Consider the following 22592-nt stretch of genomic DNA (forward strand, 5'->3'; position numbering starts at 1 on the left):
CATTTCCCAGGTTCAAGTGATTCTCCTGCCTCAGCCTCCTGAGTAGCTGGGATTACAGGGGCCCGCCATCACACTCTGCTAATTTTTTGTATTTTTAGTAGAGATGGGGTTTCTCCATGTTGGGCAGGCTGGTCTCGAACTCCTGACCTCAGGTGATCTGCACACCTTGGCCTCCCAAAGTGCTGAGATTACAGGCATGAGCCACCATGCCCGGCCCTTTCCTTTTCTTTTTAAAGATTTGTGTTATTTATAGTGGCTAAGAGTGTGACCCTTGGGTCTGGCAGGCACAGCTTGGGTGTCCTCTCTACCAACTCTGAAAATGCAGGCACAAGTCTGTCCACCTTGCTGTGCCTCAATTTCCTCGTTGGTAATTTGGGTTTAAGAATAGTGCCTACTTAATAGATTACTGTCAGGATTGAATGAAATAGTATATATAATGTGCTTGCCACATTACTTTACAAAATTACTTTCGTGCCTGCCACAAAGTAATTCTGAATAAACAGTAATTACTATTACTTTTGAATTAATAGTAATAGTGATAATAGTAATAAAAGTAATAGTAATAGTTATATAGTAGTTATACTAATTAATACTATAATACTTATAGTAGTTATACTAATATAATAGTTACTACTTTTATAATTGTTATATTTACTTTTATGATATTTTTGGCTTGAAGGGAAATTTCTTTTAGAAGTCAGGGTTAGAAATAGCTTCATTGCTCTTGATGGACTGCTGCTTCTCATAGCTATACAAACTAGGTTTCTCTGGCTGCCAGGTAGCTCAAAAGTAAACTTGAAATTTAATCATGGCAGCTGTTAGATACTAGTATTCAGAAAATATATCTGACTTCTCCTTTTTTGAGTTGTATTTCCTACTTCCATCTCTGTTTCTCTATTTCACTAGTATTGTAAGCTGCCTTTCAAAGCACTTCTCTTTCAGTCATTGCTTTTCACCCTCTTCTTGGTCATGGTCCCCTTGACTGAACCCTCTCTCTGAGAAATCTACATGTATGTCCTAACTCTCCCCACTACAATTTTGCATCTAATTTTAGGACACTCCTGGGCTTCCCAATGTCCTCTCCAAATAGAAGCCCCTGATTTAGGTGGTGACTGGATAAAATAAAAGAGAGAGGAGACAGGAGGAGGTGGGGCGGGAGTGGAGGGATTAGGAAGAAATATCACAAAACCTTAGCTTTGAAAGAAGCCTGTGAGTCATGCATGTGACTTCCCTCGGGGCTGGAATTCCCACTCTAAAACACCTGCTGCTAAGGGACTAATAGCTCTTCTTCCCCTTGCACCTGGGGGAGGCTCCTGCTCCCAGAACAGTCCACTGCAGAACTGGCAGCACTCCCTGGCAGAATGCTTCTCCTTCCTCTGCTGAATTGGCCACCTCATCCCCTACAGAATCATGCACACATCTGCAGGCACCTCTTCAGCTACCGGAAGACTGTTTTCATGGTTGCTAGATCCTTCTCTTCTCTAGAGCAAACAGCTGCAATGCTTTCAGTCCTTTCTTACATGGTAGGGTTTCACGGCTCCTGCCTGATTTGGTTGGTCTATACCTTCTGTGGGATCTGCTTTTCAAAGCTGCCCTTCTCGCGTGGGAGTGGAGCTCAGGAGCCATATTTACACCATGTCCCTCCACCCCCACCTCCCACCTGTGGCTGATGGAATCCAGGAGAACCCTAAACCTAGATAAGAGGCCAGTCATGCATTCTCCCCTGGACATTTGGAATTGGATTCAGGGTCACTACTTAGTTTCTGCTGGTCTTTTGCATGCAAAGATGTAACCCTGCTGTCTCCTCTATGCATTCAGAGGTGTCTGCATAGTGGAGAAAGCCAAGAATAAAGTAGGTTTAGAGGCAGAGAAGAGAGTGCAGGTGGCATTGGAGAGGGAAAGAGAAAAGAGAGTAATTGCTAGTTCTGGACAACTCTCCAGTTCCTGGTTCCATTCTTCTTTCAATCTTGGCTGCCCTTTTGGGTTCCATGAAATATCCCTGTGACCTTGTAATAAATGCCCCTTTTCGGTTTAAACCAGTTGAAGTGAGTTTCTGTTAAGTGCAAAGTCAGTCTCCTCCTCTCCTCTCCTTTGTCCCCCTCCCCAGCCCTCCCTTCCTCTCTTCTCATTTCTCCTCCCCATAATTCTTGGGTTCTCATGACTTTCATTTATTTCTATGCCTTTCCACCGTCCACATTTGCCTTGCTGCAGATCAAATCTCTCTAGCTATTTAATCCTGAAGCTCTGCTTCTCTTTTGAATAGGGAAGCCTGGTCTCTCATTCTAACCTCACAGTCTACAAGGCAAAAAACTCCTTTTCCTTTAAACCTCCTTCACTGGCCACTGAGATCAATCAGTCCTGACTTTCGTCCTTGTCTCTGGCTTCCGATTGTCCTCCAGGAGTTTCAAGATCCCTACATATTTTGTAATCCTCTCTCCAACCATGGCCTCAAGATCTGCCTGTTTCCTCTTAATCTCCACAGCTATATTGTTGCCCTTGTTTGTGATTACTGGGATGTTGTCCTCCCTAGTCTGTTGGCTAGCAGCTTCCTCCACCTACTGTCACTTTACAATGCTTCCAAAAAATGATACTTCCAAACAAGATGTTGCCCTATCCGCATAAACCTGATGAAGATGGCTGTATTCCATTACCCAGCTATGGTCACTTTAAGCTTCTCTGGGGGTGTTCATGTTCTGGTGCACCTATGATTAGAAAGAGTGGAATAGTCACTGTCCTGATCAACCACCTTTAATGCCTCCTTATTTTCCTCAGGATAAAGTTCAAGCTTCTTAGTCTGACAAAGTTTTTCCACATCCTGATTTCTACCAACATTTTTTAGGGACCCTCTTCTCAAGCCAGACCATCTACCCATTGTTTCCAAATTTCACTTTGGGCTTTCTCACCTCTGGGCTCTGCATTTACTGATTCATGAGGCACATGTTTGTTGTGGTACCAGGCACTGGGGATGAAACTGTGAAAAAGACAGTTGGCTATCAAACATGCTTTCACCCCATGCCAGTCTGGAATGTTTTCTTTATCTAGGCCATTCCTTTTTACTAAATTCTACCCAACCTTCAAATTCCCACTAACATTCATCTCTTCCACAATCACCTCTGCCTGAAATGACCTCTCTTAAACTCCTGTTTGCCTTTTCATTTGTACCCTAAAGTTACTTAGCACTTAATACCTGGATTTGAATCTGCACACTATGTCTCCTGGACTGGATTTCAGATCCTTGAAATGCAGTGTCTACTTCTGCTTCAGCTGCCCACGGGCCTTTGCACACAGCAGGATCTAAATAAATGCATGGGATTTATTGCTGCAGCTTAGAGTCAAATTTCCTTAAAACAACCACAAGTGAATGTGGATATGCATTTCCCTCTTGGTTGACTTGCCTGAGATTTGGTGTGTCCATTGGTTCAACATTCGTATGCTTAAAATCAACCATGTCCTCCATGCTTCAACATGGAAGAACCTTGAAAACATACTATATAAAATAAGCCAGTCACAAAAGGATAAATATTGTGTGATTCTGCTTATATGAAGTACCTAGAGTAGTCAGATTTATAGGGACAGAAAGTAGAATGGTGATCACCAGGGGTTGGGGAAGGGAGAATGGGGAGTTCATGTTTAATGGGCATAGAGTTTCAGTTGAGGAAGAGGAATGCGTTCTGGAGATGGATGGTGGTGATGGTTGTAGAACAATGTGAATGTGGTTAATGTCGCTGAACTGTAACGCTTAAAATGGCAAATTTTATGTTATGTATGTTTTGCCACCATAAAAAAAAAAATCAACCCAGTTCTAGGCTTTGTGAAAGTGTGGTCCATATCTCCCACCTCTCTGGACTCCTCCCATCGCTTCCCATTTCTAGTCATTTGGTAGCACAGAATAAATACTTAGGGAAGTGAAGTGCATGGCATTATTTCCTTGGAACTGAGAAGGCAAATTAGACGGGGAATCCTTGAAAATGCTTTATACACTTCTCACGTTTCACCTTGTCGCTGTCTCTTCAGGATGTGAGTGGAAAAAAGTGTCAAACCTCAAAGCCAACGAGAGAAGGTGTTTCCTGAGCTCAGATGAAGAAATCTGCAAAATTAGGAAATAATGTTTGTGCCAATTCTGGAAGCTCTGGACAGGCTTGGTTCACCTCCAAGTGATTTACCTGTGGCTCTCGATGATTATTTACTTGCCTATTCAGTTCAAGACAATCACAGGAATGTACGGCCCATAAACTAGAATAGCTATGAAACACAGGCTGCCTTTATGTTGAAACATAACTTTTGCATTTTTTTTTTACAAAGGGAAAATACATTTAATATACAGGCTCAGAGTGATCACTCTGTTCTTACTGCCTCCTTTTTAATATCAGAGTTCAGATCGGATCTCTTGCCTGTCCTAGGTCTTTGCCCTTGTGGCTGATGAAGCACCCAGGAACAGATATTTCCCCCAGACTGAGCCCTGCTGGGGAGCTCTGAGGCCCCTTTGTTTTGCTTCTTCTACCACCCCCATCCACTGTCCCATCCCCCAAGGTTTGGCTGCTTCATTGTTTTGGGGGGCTTTTCATGGCAGGTGAACATGGAAGTGGGGTCAACTATGCGAGTAGGGAGAAGGCCATGGACTTGAAGCTGGGCCCACTGACTCTGAGTCCAGGCTCCACCGCACACCAGTGCTGACCCCAGGCAGGGGACATCATTGCATATGTCTATCAGATGGGGCTAAGTACATCCCTCTCCTTGAGTTCTCATGAGGAATAGAAATAAGGAATAGCTGCACAGGGCCTGGCATTGGATAAACAGTTGTAAAGATATCAAGATGATCACTTTGAAGTAGTCTGCACTTTTTGGGGAATGGAGGAACCTAAAATTGAACATGGGCAATAAATCAGATGAAGGGGAAGGTTGAGTGGTACATCACCATCTAGTAAGGATAAATGTGTACAAGTATCATAAATGGAAAAAAATTTTTAAACATCTAGTAAGAGTGGAGGAAAAGTGGAACCTGAGAGTCTGTGCAAGTCAGGAGCACAGACAACTAAGGTAGACACCAGTGGCCTGCAGGTGAGATTGTGAGGGGTGTCAAAGGTCCCTTTGAGTCTGGGTTGGCACTGATGAATGAAGAAGCAACAGTTCTAAAGCTCGGAAACATGAGCTGGTGGCTAAAGGCAAGTATCTGGCCTCTACTGCCTCTAGTGCTAATGGGGAGAGCACATCGGAGCACTGACTTTGGAGCCACACTGCCTGGGTTTGACTCTTGCCTCTGTCCTTAGTAGCTGTGCAACCTTGAGTAAGTTACTTAACCTCTCTGTGCTTTCGTTCCTTGGAAAATGGAGGTAATAATAGTACCACTGTTAAGGTTGTTGTGAGAATTAAGTAACATTACTATACGTAAAACTCTTAGAATACTCTCTGACACATAGTGAGCATACAAAAAAGTGATTCATTCTTCTTTCATTCAACAAATGTTTATGGTTTCTATGCTAGAAACTGGCAAAGTGGCTGTGAGATGATTTACAGTCCCTGCCCTCATGGGACTGAAAGCCTGGCCCCCAACTATCCCTTCTTGGTCCTTGACAATGGCTGAGCCAAAAGAAGGCTTCGGTGTGAATTCTCGGGGCTGCGGTAAGAACTACGGGTCTTTTCTCTGCTTTCATTTATTTCTTGACTTACCTTCTTTTGTAGACTGCAGGTAATTGAGAGTTGTTGGGCCATTCTATAAAAGGCTTACAGATTTGAGGATACTCAATCAATGCTGAATAATAACAAGATAAATGTATAATGTATAAACAGATTCTGTTGGGGTCTTCACATTCCTTCATCTCATTAATATATATGGGAGTGTGCTTCCGCTGCTTCGCTCCCTGATGCAGACTGTCCTCAGGTTGGCAAGGAGTGGGCAGGCCCTGCAGAGTCCCGCCTGAGGCCTGGCGAGGCTCAGATGCAAGCTCAGGATCCAAGCAGGTATCTTCTTTGTAATTTCCAATGGGTTTTCTTTGACTTGAGAAGAGACCCTTCGCTGACCTCTCACCATGGGTCAGGCCTGCTGCTAAGCACCTTCTTATGCTATTTTGCTTTATCCTTAAAACAACCCTGCAATGTAGGTTCTATTGGCTTCTCTAAGTCACACATGTAACAATTTGCTCAAGCTTACTCAGTACAGCTGGCATTCTAATTCAGCCACGGCATCTACTACCATGTCTCCCTTTTAACAAACCTCTCGCAATCTCCAACATACTTGCTCTTTTAGAAAATTTGAGGCCACCATCTTCTACATTAAAAACAAAGCAAACCAGGCACAGGGGCTTATGCCTGTAAAAATCCCAGCACTTTGGGAGGCCAAAGTGGGTGGATCACCTGAGGTCAGGAGTTTGAGACCAGCCTGGACAAGATGGTGAAACCCTGTGTCTACCAAAAATACAAAAATTAGCTGGGCATGGTGGTGCCTGTCTGTAGTCTTAGCTACTCAGGAGGTTGAGGCAGGAGAATCGCTTGAATCCAGGAGGCAGAGGTTGCAGTAAGCTGAGATCATGCCACTGCGCTCCAGCCTGGGTGACAGAGTGAGACTCCGTTTCAAAAAAAAAAGATAAAAAAATACAAAGTGGTTAGCATGGAATACCTTGTTTCATACATGGGAATCCTTATCACACTTTGCAATTATCTTGTTGATTACCCGTTTATTCTTAGTGACCCTAAGTTCTGTTAACTGTTGCACTTTAGCACAATGCTTGGTACAAAATAGCTGCTCAAGAAATATTGTTGAATGAGTGAATGAATGATTATCACTAAATTTGTATATCCCTTATAGGACCTATAGCAGTAGCACACAAAATACGTGCTCAATTCTTATTTTTTTAATGTATGCAAGGAATTATTAGTGAGTTATCTAATTTGGCAGCTCACATTTCATATCTTGCTGATTTCACTAGAAAAAAAATTAACCACACAGACAACTAACCACGCAGGCTCTCTTTTAAAAATGAAAATGAAAAGTGAAAGAAAGAAGAATGAATGAATGAATGAATGAATTAGAAGCAATGCCTTGGTGGTCATTCTCTAGAACTTTTCTTCAAGTGATCCCCATCCTCAACCGACTTGCATCCAGCCTGATAAGCAATGTTTCGGCAGGTTACACTTAGTGAAATCTGGGCCAGCCTCCTTTTTCACACAGCTCATGCTGGTGTGTCTTAGAAATAAACAGCCTTCAAAGATGCCCATTGATGAAGCCAGCATTTTAAAAATCATTCTGGTCAGGAGTTTGTCTGAAGTTATTTTGGCATGGCTACAAAAAGCTGTGTGCTTTCTAAATTGCTGATCTGGCTCAGGTAGGTCTCGTAAAGGCAGAGGGCCTGATCCTCCCACACCCACCTGAGAGACCCCAAACACCAACAGAGAAATTCCAGAGTACCCTTCTTGCCCTGTGCCTAGAGCAGAGCGCGCAGCCCAGAGGAAGGCTGCACCTCTCTGGTATTCCTGGAATAATAACCTAGGTTCATCTGTGAGGCTGATTCTCCCAGGATATTTACTATTAAGCGTGGGCTTAATTTCTGTTATCGATGTTCTACTTACCCACACAGACAAGCATATGAGTGAGTTTACCCACAAGTGTACATTTTCCAGAGGAAGCTGTTGCTTTTTGCTACAGTAATTGCTACAAGAAAAGCACCAGAAATTTTTGAGGTAACATATTGTTTCTCCATAACAGCTTCAAACTTTTACCCAGATGCTTAGTTTTCTTCTGCTTTATAGCAGAACAAACTCCCCATTTTTCATAAGACCTGATGTATATTGTGCTTTTGACTAGTCCATAACTCAGACTAAAGCATACAGGCACTTTTCTCCACTCCGTTTTCTCATGAAAGAGAGAGCCCGGCAAGCTGCCGCACCAGAGCGAGAAAGAGGTAGAGACAATTTATGATTCAGTGACATAGGCAGAAGGTGTGATTTATAGTTTAATTTGCTGTCGTAATGGACAGAGGATAATAACATGTAAAATATTAACCAATGTGTAGCAACAGCAGACATCATTTGCTAAGCTTGTTATCTGCTGCTCTGCCCCTGACAGTGAACAATTAAACTGACATCAAAAAAACAAGAGCAAATGCATGAGGCAATGCCAGGACAAAACCAGCAGCAGCATCCCAAGGCCATGGAAAATTAACAAATAAAGACACTGAGATATTTTCATAATTTATCTTTCGCTCTGATTTGGTGTGATTTCGCTGGGCTGCCTTGCTGCCTGCCTCAGCCCCAAGCCTGCTCAGAGTTTACGCGTTTTGGAAGAAGGTGTGTGTTGCCTGAGTCTGGGAAGCCATTCCTCCCGCTTTGCATATTTGCCATCCGTCTGTTTGTGTGTTCTTGAAAAGGAATTGTTAAAACTGGGCGTTCATGGATCTAGCAGAGCCAGCTCGGGAAGAATGGAAGGGGAAGGGAGAAGAGCTTCTCAGGTAGAGAGGTCTGGGCACAGATCACAGTGAAAATAATACCCCCAACCCCCCGCAAATAATTATTTCTTATTCTCCCTCCTTCCTCCCAAAGGGAATTTTAAATAATTGGTAACATTATCTTAGGAAACACAAATGGTTAAAGAGAAATAGAAGAGACACATGGCTTTGATGTCTACTCAGCTGCAAATGGTAAAAACTGCTTTTATCCATTTTATTAAAATTGAACTTTGTTATATCACTGAAAGGTTACTTCACCTTTAAATCACTGCTCACGTCAGCCTTAAAATTGGTAAAATGTAGAATTGAAACCCTCAGTGTTTAGCTGGAATATCCACAAGATTATGAGCCTTTTTTTTTCCAAAGAGAAAGTTACACAATAGTAGAGTGGTGGTTCTGTTATTCTCTGCTGAATCTATTTTGAAAGTGGCTGCTTGTTTTTTTATAAATTCCATCAGCAATCTCCCTGCCAAGGGCTACGGAAGCAAGCAGGAGCTATAGCATCAGATCTATGGAAGGTCAGCACAGGAGATGAGCAAAGCAGGGCAAGCTTAACAAGAACCTTTCAAAAATTCAATTACAGCCAAAGAAATTAATAAATCCTTTCTGTTGGTATGGAACAAGAATTTGTCAACCTGTCCATTTTTCAGCATCTCCCCCTGACCCCGGTCAATTACATTGCTTGTAAATAGTTTTTATACATGTTCAAATAATTGCTCATCCTAATGTGCAGTGATCTGTATTCGTCATGCTCTGAAGCTCCAGCCCATCTCTACACCGCCACCAGGACCCATTACTCGGCTGTAAGTGAAATTGAAATTGAAGTTATAATTGATATCGGGGCCCATCACCATAATGGGTTCATCATAGCGCCATCTAAAATATTAATTTTCTAATTATGGATAAATGATCAGACAAGCTGAGCCAGGGCTCGCAATGGAGCCCCTGGGAATTGGTGCTTGCTGGATGGGAGGACAGGGCCTTGTAAAGCCTACAAATCTTTTATTATTCTCTGCCGCAGCACAGCGAGATTCAATTCTCTCAGATAATAGGTAAATAATAGTTAAGGATCAGGCTGTTAGGCTCAATTTTCTCTCTTTGTCTCTCTTTTTTTTCTCCCTGGTTTCATAATTTAAAGTAATGCCATTACTGTAACCATTCCAAATTCATTTGTCAAAGAGCCTGGAACATCATTTAATTTTAATCATGATAACAAGACAATGTGTTAATAATTCCAGGTTGGAGGAAGGCATTTGAAAACTTGTTTACCTGTTTACTCTCTCATACCATATGCAAGAAGAATTTATGAGCCGGCCCCATTTTTCTTTGCAGCCGGAGACATATTTGGTAGCTTCTTGGGGCCTGGGGAAGGAATTGGGAGTTTGTAGGCAAGTGTGTGTGGCACAGGTATGTACACACTTGGCTGACACGCAACAGCCACAAACTTCCTGCCTGGGCACACATGGGGTCCTGAAAAGACAGTGTCACAGGATTCATTTTCGTGTTGACATCCAGCTCTCAGAAGGAGAATACCCAGCTTGCCTTCCGGATGCCTAGGCACACGGGTGGCATCAGCCAAGGACTCCCATTATTGCTGCAGATATTAATATCATAAAATTAAATATTGTTTTCAGGAATCTCCGTTTCAGTTTTATATAGTAATTCTTTCAGCTAATTGTTTTCCTGCACCCTGATCCCATAATTAGGGCCTGACTAATTATCTAATTACTAAGTAGCAGAAGGGCAGGTTGATGGCGACATTTTCGCCATCTTTCAAAGCCTCGTTATCCTTGTGAAAGTCATGGTTTCCTCTGGCTGCAGGCAGCTGCGGCAGATCCAAATGTCTGCTCACCTTCCACATTTGTCAACCTGTTCATTATAGTGGTGAATTTGACACATCAGAAATGTCCCTTTGACAGGAAAGTTTATCCTGGAATGAAAACTGAAGCAAAAGAAAGAAAACCAAAGAAAGATGAAAGTGTAATTTATATTCTCAGATTTGCAATTGTAGTCTTGTCTTAAAGGCAGGATATATGTCTGCTCTTTAGGAGCTGGGAGATGCTCGCTTCTGGAGCCTCGGGGCTCGCCCAGGCTGCATCAGGGGCAAAGAAGGCCTTCTTCATTTCACAACCCAGTGGGGCTTCCAGACGCTGAGTCGCTGTCACTCTGAGCTGCTCAGCCGCTGGCGAGTCCACTGGCGGCGGCACAACAAGCTCACACATCTTGGGAGAAATTGGCCCATAAACTCCAAGAGGCGAGAGACTCTGGTATTTGGCTGCCACAAACATCAGGTTACCAACACACTGGTTAATCAATAACCCAATTTTGTTTAATCCCTAGGTCTTAACATTTGACACCTTTTGTCCCCTTTCCAATTTTTACTACACTGGAAAGTCAGCCACCCTCCTTTTGGCTTTTTAAGGCAGAGGAGGATGGAGTGAGGGGGAGGGGAAGCAAGGATATCTTACTCCTCATCTCAAAAGTAACCAAATGTTCTGCAGTTGCTTCGCAAACTTCCATGTACTTCCCACTGGGTCCTCACAGCCTCCAAAATGAGAAAACCTTTTGAGAGTATCAGAGTAACTCTGGTGAACGACACACACCTAACTGAAGTCATAATTGTAGAATCATTATCAATTATAACTCCAACCAAATATGATTGTATGTTCAATTGGCTTGGCGTAGATAAATGTATGTTTGTGCAATAAACGCATCTGTCAAGATTGTTTTTAATGCTCTAAGCTGGATTTTCATTAAAGAAGTATTAATTTAAATTAAGCACGCTGAGATCTTTATTAGTAAAGTAATCAGCAGCAAATAAGCTGCTTAATCAGTTTATATACCCATATATATCTTTCAGAATCAATGTTTTCAATTGAGACCGTTGCCAAGTGGTTAGAATAAGACAGAGAGAAAACACGCATGAAATACATTTCGTTTGCTAGGCTGATGTCTGCCGCGGCCCTATTGGCGTCTCGGAATGCAGTCATTGATGCATCTACGATGACTGTATAAAATGTGTTTAATTGGCATGAAAAGGCACTAACTGAGAGCTGGAGGGGTTTCCATTATCTGGGTGGACATCTTATTTACTTTAGTGGATCCTGGGAACAAGATGAAAGTATATGAGAACTGAGGTGGGGGGTTGGTACTTAAGCTGATGGGTTTTCTTGGTTGGTTGGGGGTGGTGAGTAGGGAGTTTTACAATCATCCAGGCGATGCAAAATGCAGCTCTGCAACGGCCCAGGTCTCCCTTGCACCCTGAGGAGAAAGCCCAGTGGAACATTTTCCTAATGAGAATCTGCCGAAGGCTGTTCACCCAGGGTGAAGCGAGCAAGCATGGTGCGTCCTTACATTTCCGAGGCTGCATTTTTATAAAACGGCTCCTCCCTTCTGTGTAGCTCAAAAGCTGGGTGGAAGAGAAGGTATCATTTTTAACTTCAACCTCAAGTAACAATGGGGCACAGAGGGGCTTCTCAAGATGCCTAGCACTTGGTTGTCATCTGAATGTCTTCAGAATCCCTTGGGATATTGGACATGCCATGGTACTGTTCTGTTTGGTGATCCCTGCAGTTACCAGTTTCCTGCTAAGCGAATACTTCGCCATATTTCCATTAATTGCTACATTACAAATTGTTCCATATCCCAGTGGTGGGAGTTCACTCTGATGCCAGCTATGGAGTGACAACACCTACACACAGTCCCAAGAGGTTCCCACATTCTGTGGGATTTGCCTTTTGAGATTGTTATTTAGTGCATAATTCTCATGTCCCAGTCATGAAGGACAAATAGAGAGAGGACGACACGAGGATTAGTTTCATCCTATTGAATCCTCCATGGAGAGGGCTTATTAATGTGTTTTAAGTGTGTTGGAGGCTCCCAGAGTACAGTAATACCTTCCTATGCTTATAATCACTTCTACTCCAATTTTCAACTCCAAGATCTCTCAGGAAATGGGTCTCATTTGTAAACCACGTAAACTGGGTTTATTAAAAGCTGAGACAGATAGGTGCATTAACAGAATATATTTCTTACTTTAAAATGTACTTTATTTGTACATCTTTGTTTGTTTTGCAGCTAATAGAGAACTTTACAATGAAGTCTGGTTTCTATAGAACACATTTGAAGGCTCTCTGTATCTGAATCTGGAATCTGCAAAGTTGGAAGCTTAAATGAACTGGCAGATTGGGAATCCTCCTCCCCAAATCCCAGGGGTCAGGGCACATGTGTTGTAATGGACTCGGTCAGGAAAATCACATCCTCACTTCTTCTCCTTGGGGATGAGGCAGGTGCTAACTTCACCCAAGCACTGGCTGTCACAACTCACAGCTCAGGATTTGTGAGAAATATCAGCTCTTTGGCAACAGGCACTAGTAATAAAATAAGCCTTTTGACCAAATTTATCATTGGAGGGTTTTTTTTTTCAACTGGAAATCAGAAAGGGGAAAAGAATAGTAAAGAGGATATTGGGTTTGCTATACAAAATAATCCTATTGAGCCATCAGCCCTGATTACTGGGTGTGAAAACTACAAACCCTATCTTGTGCTCATACCTAGTGGAATCCTTGGGAGAACTAGGTGGCCAGACATGGAGCTTCAGGCAGTGGAGTAAATTCTTAAGGACTGCACTTTGCTTGGTAAAGTAGATGGACATTCACTTCTCAACCCTACTCTTTTGCTTCTCATTGCTCCTTGAAAGACCCAACATGCTATTGGTCATTAAATATCCCATAATTAGCACAAATGTTTGTACTAACATTTGTATAATACTACCACTTAATAGGTGCCAGACATACCAAGTAATTTCCGTGTAATTATCTCATTTAATTTTCATAACTATTCTATGACATGGAGACTTTTATTATGCCCTATTTCACAGGTGAGGAAACTGAGTCACCCAGCAGTTAAATAATTAGCCCAAGATCACACACAGCAGCAGACAGCTGAGCCAGGCCTTACATTCAGTACTCTTTGACTTAAAAGCTTAACCATGGAACTACCCTCTACTGCCTACCAAATCCAGCTTGGTGAGTTTAGCCAAGGCAAATAATGTGACCCCTACTTGCACGAGGGTTATTTCTGGGGCTCAGAATGATCAAATATCATGGGAGGAAACTGCTTTGTCTTCATCACTACCCTGCTATAGCTTAGCAAAACCTGCACTCGTCAATACTTCTTACAAGGTGGGCAGATCTCCATATGCAGCCACCCCTATCCGGTGTCCAACCCCCAAGCTGTGAAACTGGGCTAAGTGCTGAATCTGCTCATTCCTCTGGAATTCAGAGGAGGCAGCATCGTATGGAAGAGCACAGCTGAGGCAAGAAACAGCTCTTTCACTGGTCAGCCATGTAACCGTGAGCAGGTGACTCGACCTCACTATGCCTCAGTTTTTTCATCTCTGAAATGAGAAAAATAGCAGAATCTACTTCATAGGATTATTATGAGGATTACGTGAGTTAATATTGATTTGGTGCTTGGGATGTGGTCAGGGCCATAGAAGACTTAGTTACTAGTGTTATGTAATTATGTTGGGATGTAACTCTCAAAGAAGAGAGTTGAGACAATGATCTTAACTTTTGGGTGAATCCAGATAGTCAATTTGGCTAACTGAGACAAGGACAGGTTTCTTACCACTGCTGGGAAAACCAGGTGGTCTATTGAATTGGCCTACTGTTCTGAAATTATTTAGACATGCCCTGCATATGTTTGCATATACAATTGTACAAGTCATATGTTTGTAAGAAATGTCATTTCTTCACCATTTATTCAATAAAAATGCTTCGTGCTCTTGCTCTGAATCAGGTACTAGAGAAACAAAACTGAACAAGACCATCCCCAAAGAGCACACAATGTAGATGGCAGCAAATAACCTAACTGTAATACAACACGGCAAGTGTAGTAAATGCTTCAGTGAAAGTATGAAAAACGTGGAGGAAATGAAATGTTTTTGTACTGCTGGGTCAGGGGCAGTCACTGAAGCCTTCCCTAGCAAGCAACATTTGAGCCAGGGCTTAAAGAATGAGGTAGAATTTGCCTGTTGGAGGATGAGGGCTGGATATGGACATCCAAACAGAAAGGACGTCTTGAAAACGTGCAGGAAGTTACAAAAATTTACGCTGTGTTTGGGGAACATTCTAGGTAGGGCCGTTGTGGCAGTGCCCTGTGTATTGGAGTAAAGACAAGACAAGAAGTGAAGCAGGTTGTGAAGGGAAACACTCATTTCCTAGAAGCAGAAAGCAACAGTATCTCATTTCTTTGGTCACAAGCAACAGAAATGGATTTTGGCCCTTTGAGAGAATGGAGACTTTGTAGGAACTATTTGGGGCACCAACAGGAGGGAAGGGAAGACCGTCTTCCTCAGGCACTATCCCACTGTGTTTGCTACCTTTGCTTTGATTCAAGGTCTCAGGAGACAGAAACTCTGATTGCCTGAACTCAGGTGAAATGCTCACATCTTGGCTGTACTAGGTGGTGAAAAGAATGTCTGGTGGGCAGAGCCTCCACCTTTCAACTTCTAAGGTGGACAGTCAGCACACTAGAGGGCACCAAGACTACACCAAATCAGGAAAGGTAATTCCCCAGAAGGAAATCAGGGAGCAGCTACTTGATGGACAGACCCCACATTACAAATGTTCATTATAAATAATAATAACAACCTATGTTTATTAGCCATCTGTTATAAACTATGGTGCATACATACTTCATATAAATGTTTTATTTAATCTACATAATAACCTTAGGAGTAGATCTACTCCCACTTTGTAGAATTGGAATAAATAAAACCCATTTTTCCAAATGAAAAAAGTCACAGCTCAGAGAAGTTATGTCACTTGCTCAAGGTCACACAGCTAGTAAGTGAGTGAGCTGGAACTCAAAAACCTGGATGCCTCTGATGGTAAATCTCTCAATCACTGCACGTTATACCTCCAAGCATCTGCAGGTGGGCACCAGCTCCGCACTGTCCCACCCTAGCCCTTTCTTCTGACCACCACTGAATGGGCACAGTCAACTTGGGAGACCAAAGGATCTGGCTTATGGAAAGGAGCACAGACAGGCACCTTTCTCAGTTCCTGTCCCTGCAGGCTATCCAAACCAACTGGGCAGCAGCCCTTGAGCTCGGGCCAAAACCTAATCTCTCAAGCCCTTTGAGGGTATCATATGGAAAACCCCTAATCAATTCCTTCCAAAGCAATTTATAATAATGCTTCCTCTTGAGCCCCAAGAATGGAGAGCTGCAAATCCACAGGGCTTCAAAGCATGTTGTTTTAATTAATGGCTGAGCAGAAGCTTCTCTAATCCTTGTGGGCAGATGTGCCCTCATTAAAAAAAATTCTATGAGAATTAAACTTATCTCAGAAAGTAGTGGGGATAACTTGTTCATCTGGTAGTAACATCTCCCCAAGTACTGGGCCTGCCATTTTGAAGTCTATAACCACATATTTAATCTAAGTAGGGAAAACCACTCACGTCATCCCGTCACTCAATCATCCAGTGAGTCATTAATCTAGTTTCTATTCTCTAGTAGCCTTATCTGTTTATAAATGTTATTTTACTCACCAAAACACTGCAAGGTAGGCATTAGGATCCTCATTTTATTGACAAGGAAATGGAATCGCAGAGAAGTTAAGCAGCTAGCTTAAGGCCACACAGCAAGTAAGGGGCTCATTCCATGACCCTGTGCACTGTTCTATATCTTGAGCACCAACTTGGATCTGTACCAGTCTTCACAGCTCCCATCTCTGAACTGTCCAGAAAGAGCCCATGTTTTCTGCCCCTTGTTGGGAGAGGATGACTGAGAATTCCAGCAAAATGGAGACTCTTGAACTGATCCCCCTGTCTCCAGAACTGTCCAACTCACCTCCAAGTCTCCAACTCACCTTCCACACTGGCCACCAGCAATTGTTTAAAACGCTAAACCAACCATGACACTTAGCTTAACATCTTTCAATGGCTCCCAATTACCTTTAATAGAAAATCCACATTCACACGGAATGTGAGACCCCTCATGATCCAGCCCTTGCTACCTCTTCTGTCTCATCTTCCAAAACATCCCCTGAGTGCTCATTTCACTCTAGCCATACAACTCTCCCAACAACCTTGAAGGCACCAGCACACCTCTGTTCACTTGTTCTTCTCTTTAGAACCCCTTTCCCTTTTATATCTGCTCAGCTAACTCCTATTCAACCTTCAAAACTCAGTTCAAGTATCCCCTTCTCCAGAAAGTTCCCACCAGAGTGACTGTGTCCATCCTCTGTGCTTTTTTTTTGAAGATTTTTGTAGCATACCAGGGGTACTCTCACTCTCTAATAGTAGGGATGACAGTCAGGAAGTTTTTGGTCTGCATAGGACAGAAAGTCCACCCAAAGAAGACTAAACAAAAAGAAAATAGTAGATTGATCTCATATAAAGGCCATTTGGATGTAGACTGGGCTCCAGATGTGATACGATCAGGGTTTCTGCTTAGGGTTTCTGTAATTTTCTCAGATCTGTCATCCCAGATATATTTGTTTTGTCCTCAGGCCAATCTCCCCAGTGGTAGCAAGACAGTTGCTAAAAGCAATTGGGGCAACATGCATAGAGGGGAAGAGAGAGAACCTTCCCCGCAGTTGTCCTTCCCTTTGGTGTGAGGAGGGCTTTAGGTCACATGTTCATCCCTGGACCAATTACCGTCACCAATTAAGCAATAGGCTGAAGCCATGATGCCTGAGCCAATCACAGGCAAGGGTGTGTGTAGGATTATCATGATTGGTATAGCCTGGTGTGGGTCAGCTTTCCAGAGATCACATAGCTTATGTACAGGAGAGGTGGGTACCCAAATAAAAACGGAGTTCCGGGTTGGGTACAGTGGCTCACACCTGTAATTTCAGCACTTCGGTAGGCTAAGATAAGTGGATTGCTTGAAACCAGGAGTTCAAGACCAGCCTGGGCAAGATGGTGAAACTCATTTCTACAACAACAACAAAAAATACAAAAATTAGCCAGGTGCAGTGGTGCACACCTGTAATACCAGCTACTTGGGAGGCTGAGAGGTGGAGGTTACAGTGAGCCGAGATTATGCCACTGCACTCCAGCCTGGGTGACACAGTGAGACCCTGCCTCAAAAAAAAAAAAAAAAAATTCTGCCAGGAGGGAGGAAGAAGGGAATGGATGCTGTCTAAGCCACCACAGTAGCTGCATGAGTGTTCACACACACCTGTCCTCCCACAATACTATAACCGTCCCAAGGACAAAGACCGTGATTTGCTTATCTTAGTATCCAACTGTCTAGCAGAGTACTTGAAAAATCTTTGAAAATAAATGAGATGAGTTAGCATTGTTAAATATTGCTGGAGCTGAGGTGTATTCAAAGCTGATGAAAGATTCTGGTTGGCATGAGGTAAAAAGGAAAGGCATCATTTCTACCTGCTGGATCTCTATTTGGTATATAAATTAGACCTTTTTAAAAGACATGTTTCTGTCTGCCAGGCTTTAGAAACAGTGATCTAAGAGTCAGACATTTCTTATTAAAGTTTAAAAAATATAGCTTTAAGTCATACATTATATTGAACGCTTTCATATCTCATCTGATTCAGTAGGTTTTAAACCTCACAGAGGTCACATTTTGAAACAGTAGTCACTTTTTACAACGTCTCCAAACATTAAATAAAAATAAAAATTATTATGACGACTAGAGATGTCCATAGAGACCACTAGCATGACCCTTGGATATTATTATTAAGGACAGTATTATTTGGAGTTCGGGGGTCACAATGGCTGGCTCATCTCTAAGCTTCGTTATTTTTTCTTTCTTGAATTGAAGAAGGAAGGAAGGGCAATTCCATCAATGCTCATCTTTTTTTTTTTTTAACCCTATTTAGAATAGCAGTTCTTAACTTATGGCAATCTGAGGAATGCTATGAATCCCTCAAACATGCAAAATTTTCTGTGTATCAATATTTTTCTCAAGAGAGGGATCATAGTTTTTGTTATAGTCTCAAAAGGGTCCTCGATCCACAAAAAGATTGAGAACCACAGACATCGAAGGAAAATTCCCTCAGGACCCCAGTTGTCTCAGTAACTGGGGTTTCATGTAATGAAGAAAAGCTATCCCCAGGGTTAGACTATTCACTTAGATTGGTGGCTTCCAGGAAATAGGTTGTCCTTGGATTTCTCTTAGGATGTTCTAACTTAGAGAGGTCATCGAGTCCGTAGATATTTGAAATGAATGGGGCTCTGGAAGAAGAAATTGGCAAAGTAACTGTGTAGCTCCCACATCCCACCCTCTCAACCCCCAAGCCTCTCCTCGACCCACTTCTTAAGCTAAAAAGGCCTGTCCTGACTCAGAAACATGTGATCGCTAGCTCCTACATTTACTGGGGACAATTTATAATTTACTCAGCCAGTCTAGGGACTGGCTCACATTTGTAAACAGAAATAAAGCTGGTGGTTTGTTGTTGGTCTCTAAAAATCTTACAATCTTGACGTGTCATCCCCTGATCCATAATGGGCTTTTTGTTGTTGTTGTTGTTTTAAAGCCTGTAATGTATTGAAGTCTGGTGGCAAAGGAAGGAAATTTGGGAGGAAGTGTGTGTGTGTGTGTGTGTGTGTGTGTGTGTGTTGTGTCTGTGTGTCTTTCTGTGTGTGTGTGCATGCTGGTGTGTATTCAAGGAGGGCTCTGAAAAGATGTTTTTGGTTTCCCCCAATGAAGCATCCTTGCCCAAGAAGGCGGGTTTGTATTGTTAGTTATCTGCTATTTCTTTGTTTCTCTTGTTTCAGTGTTCAGTTGCATTTTACTGTTCAGAACTTGAAGGATGCATTCAAACTTATGGAGCATGACATTTTAAGTATCTCATCTCACCATGATTCATCTCAATTTACTTTCCTCCAAACTGTAGTCTTGAGAAAGCGCACCATCTCTGGGTTCTCCAGTGGGTAGAAGACCATAAACAGCATTAAATGAGCCCAATGTCAGCTAACTTGCGAGCAAGGCTCACTCATTAGATTTTATTGTTCTCCTAATGAGATGCTTTCCTTTAGGCTGGGAATGTGTGGAACATTAGCAATGGCCTCTGTAGTGTATTGCTGAATGTTCAATACGAACCAGTGGAGGTTAAATAACATGATGAATCAAACAGTCCCAAAGGAATGTGGTGATGTGCTGAGCCCATTAGGGCCCTGCAGACCCTTAACACTTTCTGTGTGAGGCTTCTGTTCTCCAAACAGTTGCTTTGCCCCGGATGATGCACTGCTTGCAAAATGTATCAATCCCAGGACCCAGTATATGCCTACCAGAATATATTTTACTGTCTCTAGTTGACTTCCAGTTTAGAGTTCAACCTCAACTGAACTTTGGTGGTAAAAAATCAACTCTGTCTTCATTCGCTCTAGGAACCTCTGCTTTTGAGTAGAATGAATCGATAATGAGGTCATGAACAAATATTATTAATGCCTTTTATTATTTATATGGATGTTAATGTGTCCAGTTGACACACAGCTTTCTACCTCTCTAGTCTAACACTCGTGACCCTTGGCACCCCTTTTGCATCTTCTCTCTCTTTGTCCATTCAGTCACAAATACAGTGAAAGAATAATATATCACAAGCCATGACCCCTTGGCCTTTATGAATTATCTGTTTAGAAAGATGTGAAGCCACCTTTTATATCCACCATAATAGATACTTAGACATAATGGATCAATAGTGAACAAGTTTGCTGGTTATAGTTAATGGGTACCAAAGGGACACTCTGGCAGTGACCTCTGACATTGCCTCTGACAAGAAATCCATAGAGCAAAAAATAAGGAAGATGGACAGTTTTTAAAGTTATGAATGCAGATCTGTAGCAAATCATGATAATTTTCTCCTGGTGGCGATAATTCAGATTTGCAGGTGGTCACTAATTTCTGCAAGCTCCTTAATTAGGACCCCTGAAATAGGAATGGCAGTCCTTCGCCACCCTATTTTAGAAAGAGCTATGGGGCCGGGCCTGATGCAAGTCCATTTGTTATCCAAGGAGAACCAACTGAGATTGTTTTCCTGTCAAGGAGGACTTTTCTCTTTATGAAATGGGCTGTCATTCATAATTTTAAGCAGGCACGGATTTGTTAAACAGCCACATGGTAATGGGTTTCTATAAGAAGATCCACAGACCCATAGTTCTGGAAAGAAATCGAGCTTACAAGTTATTTTAAAACCTAATGGGAATGGAATATTTTGGGTTTCTTGAAAAGATGGTTTCTGCCCTGCATATTGTCAAGGGAATTTAAAAATAAATCCGTTGTTGTGTGTCTGAGAGTCTGTTTGAAGCAATTATATTTTTATACATTCTATGGAGTTGATCTTAGGGAAATCCACCAGGACACCAAGCCTACCTCTTCATGTCACCGCAGGAACATTAACGGTGGCAAGCAGGTTTAAAAAGAGCAGGGAAACAGAGCTAATTGGTGAGTGGTCTTGAAGACAGCAGACTGCAGCATTCTGCCTGGCAGAGAAATGAATATACATGGCATCCAATCCAAAGGAGAGAGGGCAAGAATGTAAGTGCGAAGTCCTTTTCACTCCGCTCCACAGTGTACATACCGTATTATGATGTCACACTCCAGTAGCGTTGCTCTGAAGTCCCAGTGGTCTCCTGCTGCTAAGCACCATTGAAAACACATTTGTCCTGACTGTTCTTTTCCTTTTATCCCCCTCTCATCTGTGTAAGATGAATCACTCCTGGATCCAGACTGACTCCGAGGGCAGAGCCAGGTCCTGACGAGGTAGCCTGCCTCCTATGGCTTAAACATTTTAATTAATTTCAACACTAATGCCCAAATGAGAGTTAATCACTCTGCCGCAGTGCTTTCTAATTTACTAAGTTTATTCATTAAAACTTTCCTTGCTGAACTTTGATTGAATGTCATGCTTTTTTGGAGGCCTTTCAAACTGCCTTAAGGGGTTTTAAAGTGATATCTGGGGCAGCTGCTGAAAGCCTTCAGTGTTTGCTTAAAGAAAAGAAGAGGGAAAAATGTGATCAGCAAGAAATCTCTGTGCTGAACAAGGAGTCTTTTGGGTGGCAGGAGGCCTGTGAAAGCAGGCTTGCGTTTCAACAGTCTATTAAAAAAGTAAGATAAACCTAAATTCCTAATAAAAGAAATAAAATCAATCACCTTAATACTTGACAAAACTTGGAAATACATTTTATGGTAAGATGCAGCCATCTTTTAAAAAAACAGCAGAATGATAGCAGCACTTTGTATTAACGTGGGGAGAGATATTCACAATGCTTTTGCCAACCTAATTATTTTGGAATCAATATAATAAAAATCTTAGGTACACAGTTTTGCCTATTAATTGCTAGGGCCTAAATTTTTACTGAGAGATATTGTTTAATGAAGGTTTTTATTTAAAATTAACGCCCGAAAAATGCAGTCTTTACATATCTAATTAACAGTATCGGGGACCAAATACCCGGTACTATCTGTTACACGATGGTAGCTCTCAATACATGGAATTGCTTTTCCAGAAATTGGCAGTGTTAGTGTCTTTAGGAATGTGCTTCCTCCCTCTTCCTACCTCTCCATTCTCCATTCCCTAACCCCAGTCAGAAACATACTATTTGTAAAGTTTAAAAAATTCCAATAATCTGGGAGGAAAAAGTCAAGTCAGAATTATTAATGAAACCACCACTTAGTTTTAAGAGGCCTTGAATCAAAATACAAGTTTTCATATTCATTTCCATGTTCTATAAATACTGCTCTGTATTATGCAACAAGACACGACAAACTCATTTTTAAAAAATATTTTTGACTTCAGGGAGCAAAAAAGTTACCCATTCCATCCCACCTTGACAAATGGTGCTTGATTTGGAAGCGCCCCCCTTCTCACTTGCAGGGGCAGGGCTTGTCACTACGAGTTGGCTCATGAAGTAGTCCTGCTTTTGAGGCTCTTGAAAGATCCCTTCGTAAATGTGATCCCTGTGTCTATCAAAACACAGACCCAGAGAGAAATACGTCAGCATAGGAAAGAGTGTGATGGCAACATATCCCAGTGCTGGGATTAGGCAACCTGGCTTGGAATCCTGATTTTGCTGTTTGCCAGCTGTATGACCTTGGACAAGTTATGTAACCTCCCTAAGCTTACTTTCTTCAAGTACAAAATTAGCATTATTTAAGCAGCCATCTCGTCGGACTTT

General features: G+C 42.2%; 1 long non-coding RNA gene across 3 annotated transcripts, besides 1 other annotated feature; it reads right to left on the reverse strand.

Annotated features, from left to right (window-relative positions):
* Positions 8521-9956: an enhancer, noted in NCBI's record as "VISTA enhancer hs169". NCBI's record gives its function as "enhancer in: neural tube[4/4]" and the evidence as "EXISTENCE:transgenic organism evidence [ECO:0001131][PMID:17130149]".
* LINC01739 (long intergenic non-protein coding RNA 1739) lies at positions 10407-22381 on the reverse strand. Of its 3 annotated transcripts, none has more exons than NR_146606.1 (2): positions 22244-22381; positions 10407-10713 (listed from the first exon to the last, which is right to left on the reverse strand). It is a non-coding gene; the product is annotated as a long intergenic non-protein coding RNA 1739 (long non-coding RNA). The 3 variants fall into 3 exon arrangements; NR_146605.1 differs by lacking the exon at positions 22244-22381 and adding an exon at positions 20996-21178; NR_146607.1 differs by lacking the exon at positions 22244-22381 and adding an exon at positions 20788-20835.
* Positions 22382-22592: the final 211 nt, after the last annotated feature.

This window comes from Homo sapiens, chromosome 1 (assembly GCF_000001405.40).
Source record: "Homo sapiens chromosome 1, GRCh38.p14 Primary Assembly".
NCBI classification, from domain to species: domain Eukaryota; kingdom Metazoa; phylum Chordata; class Mammalia; order Primates; family Hominidae; genus Homo; species Homo sapiens.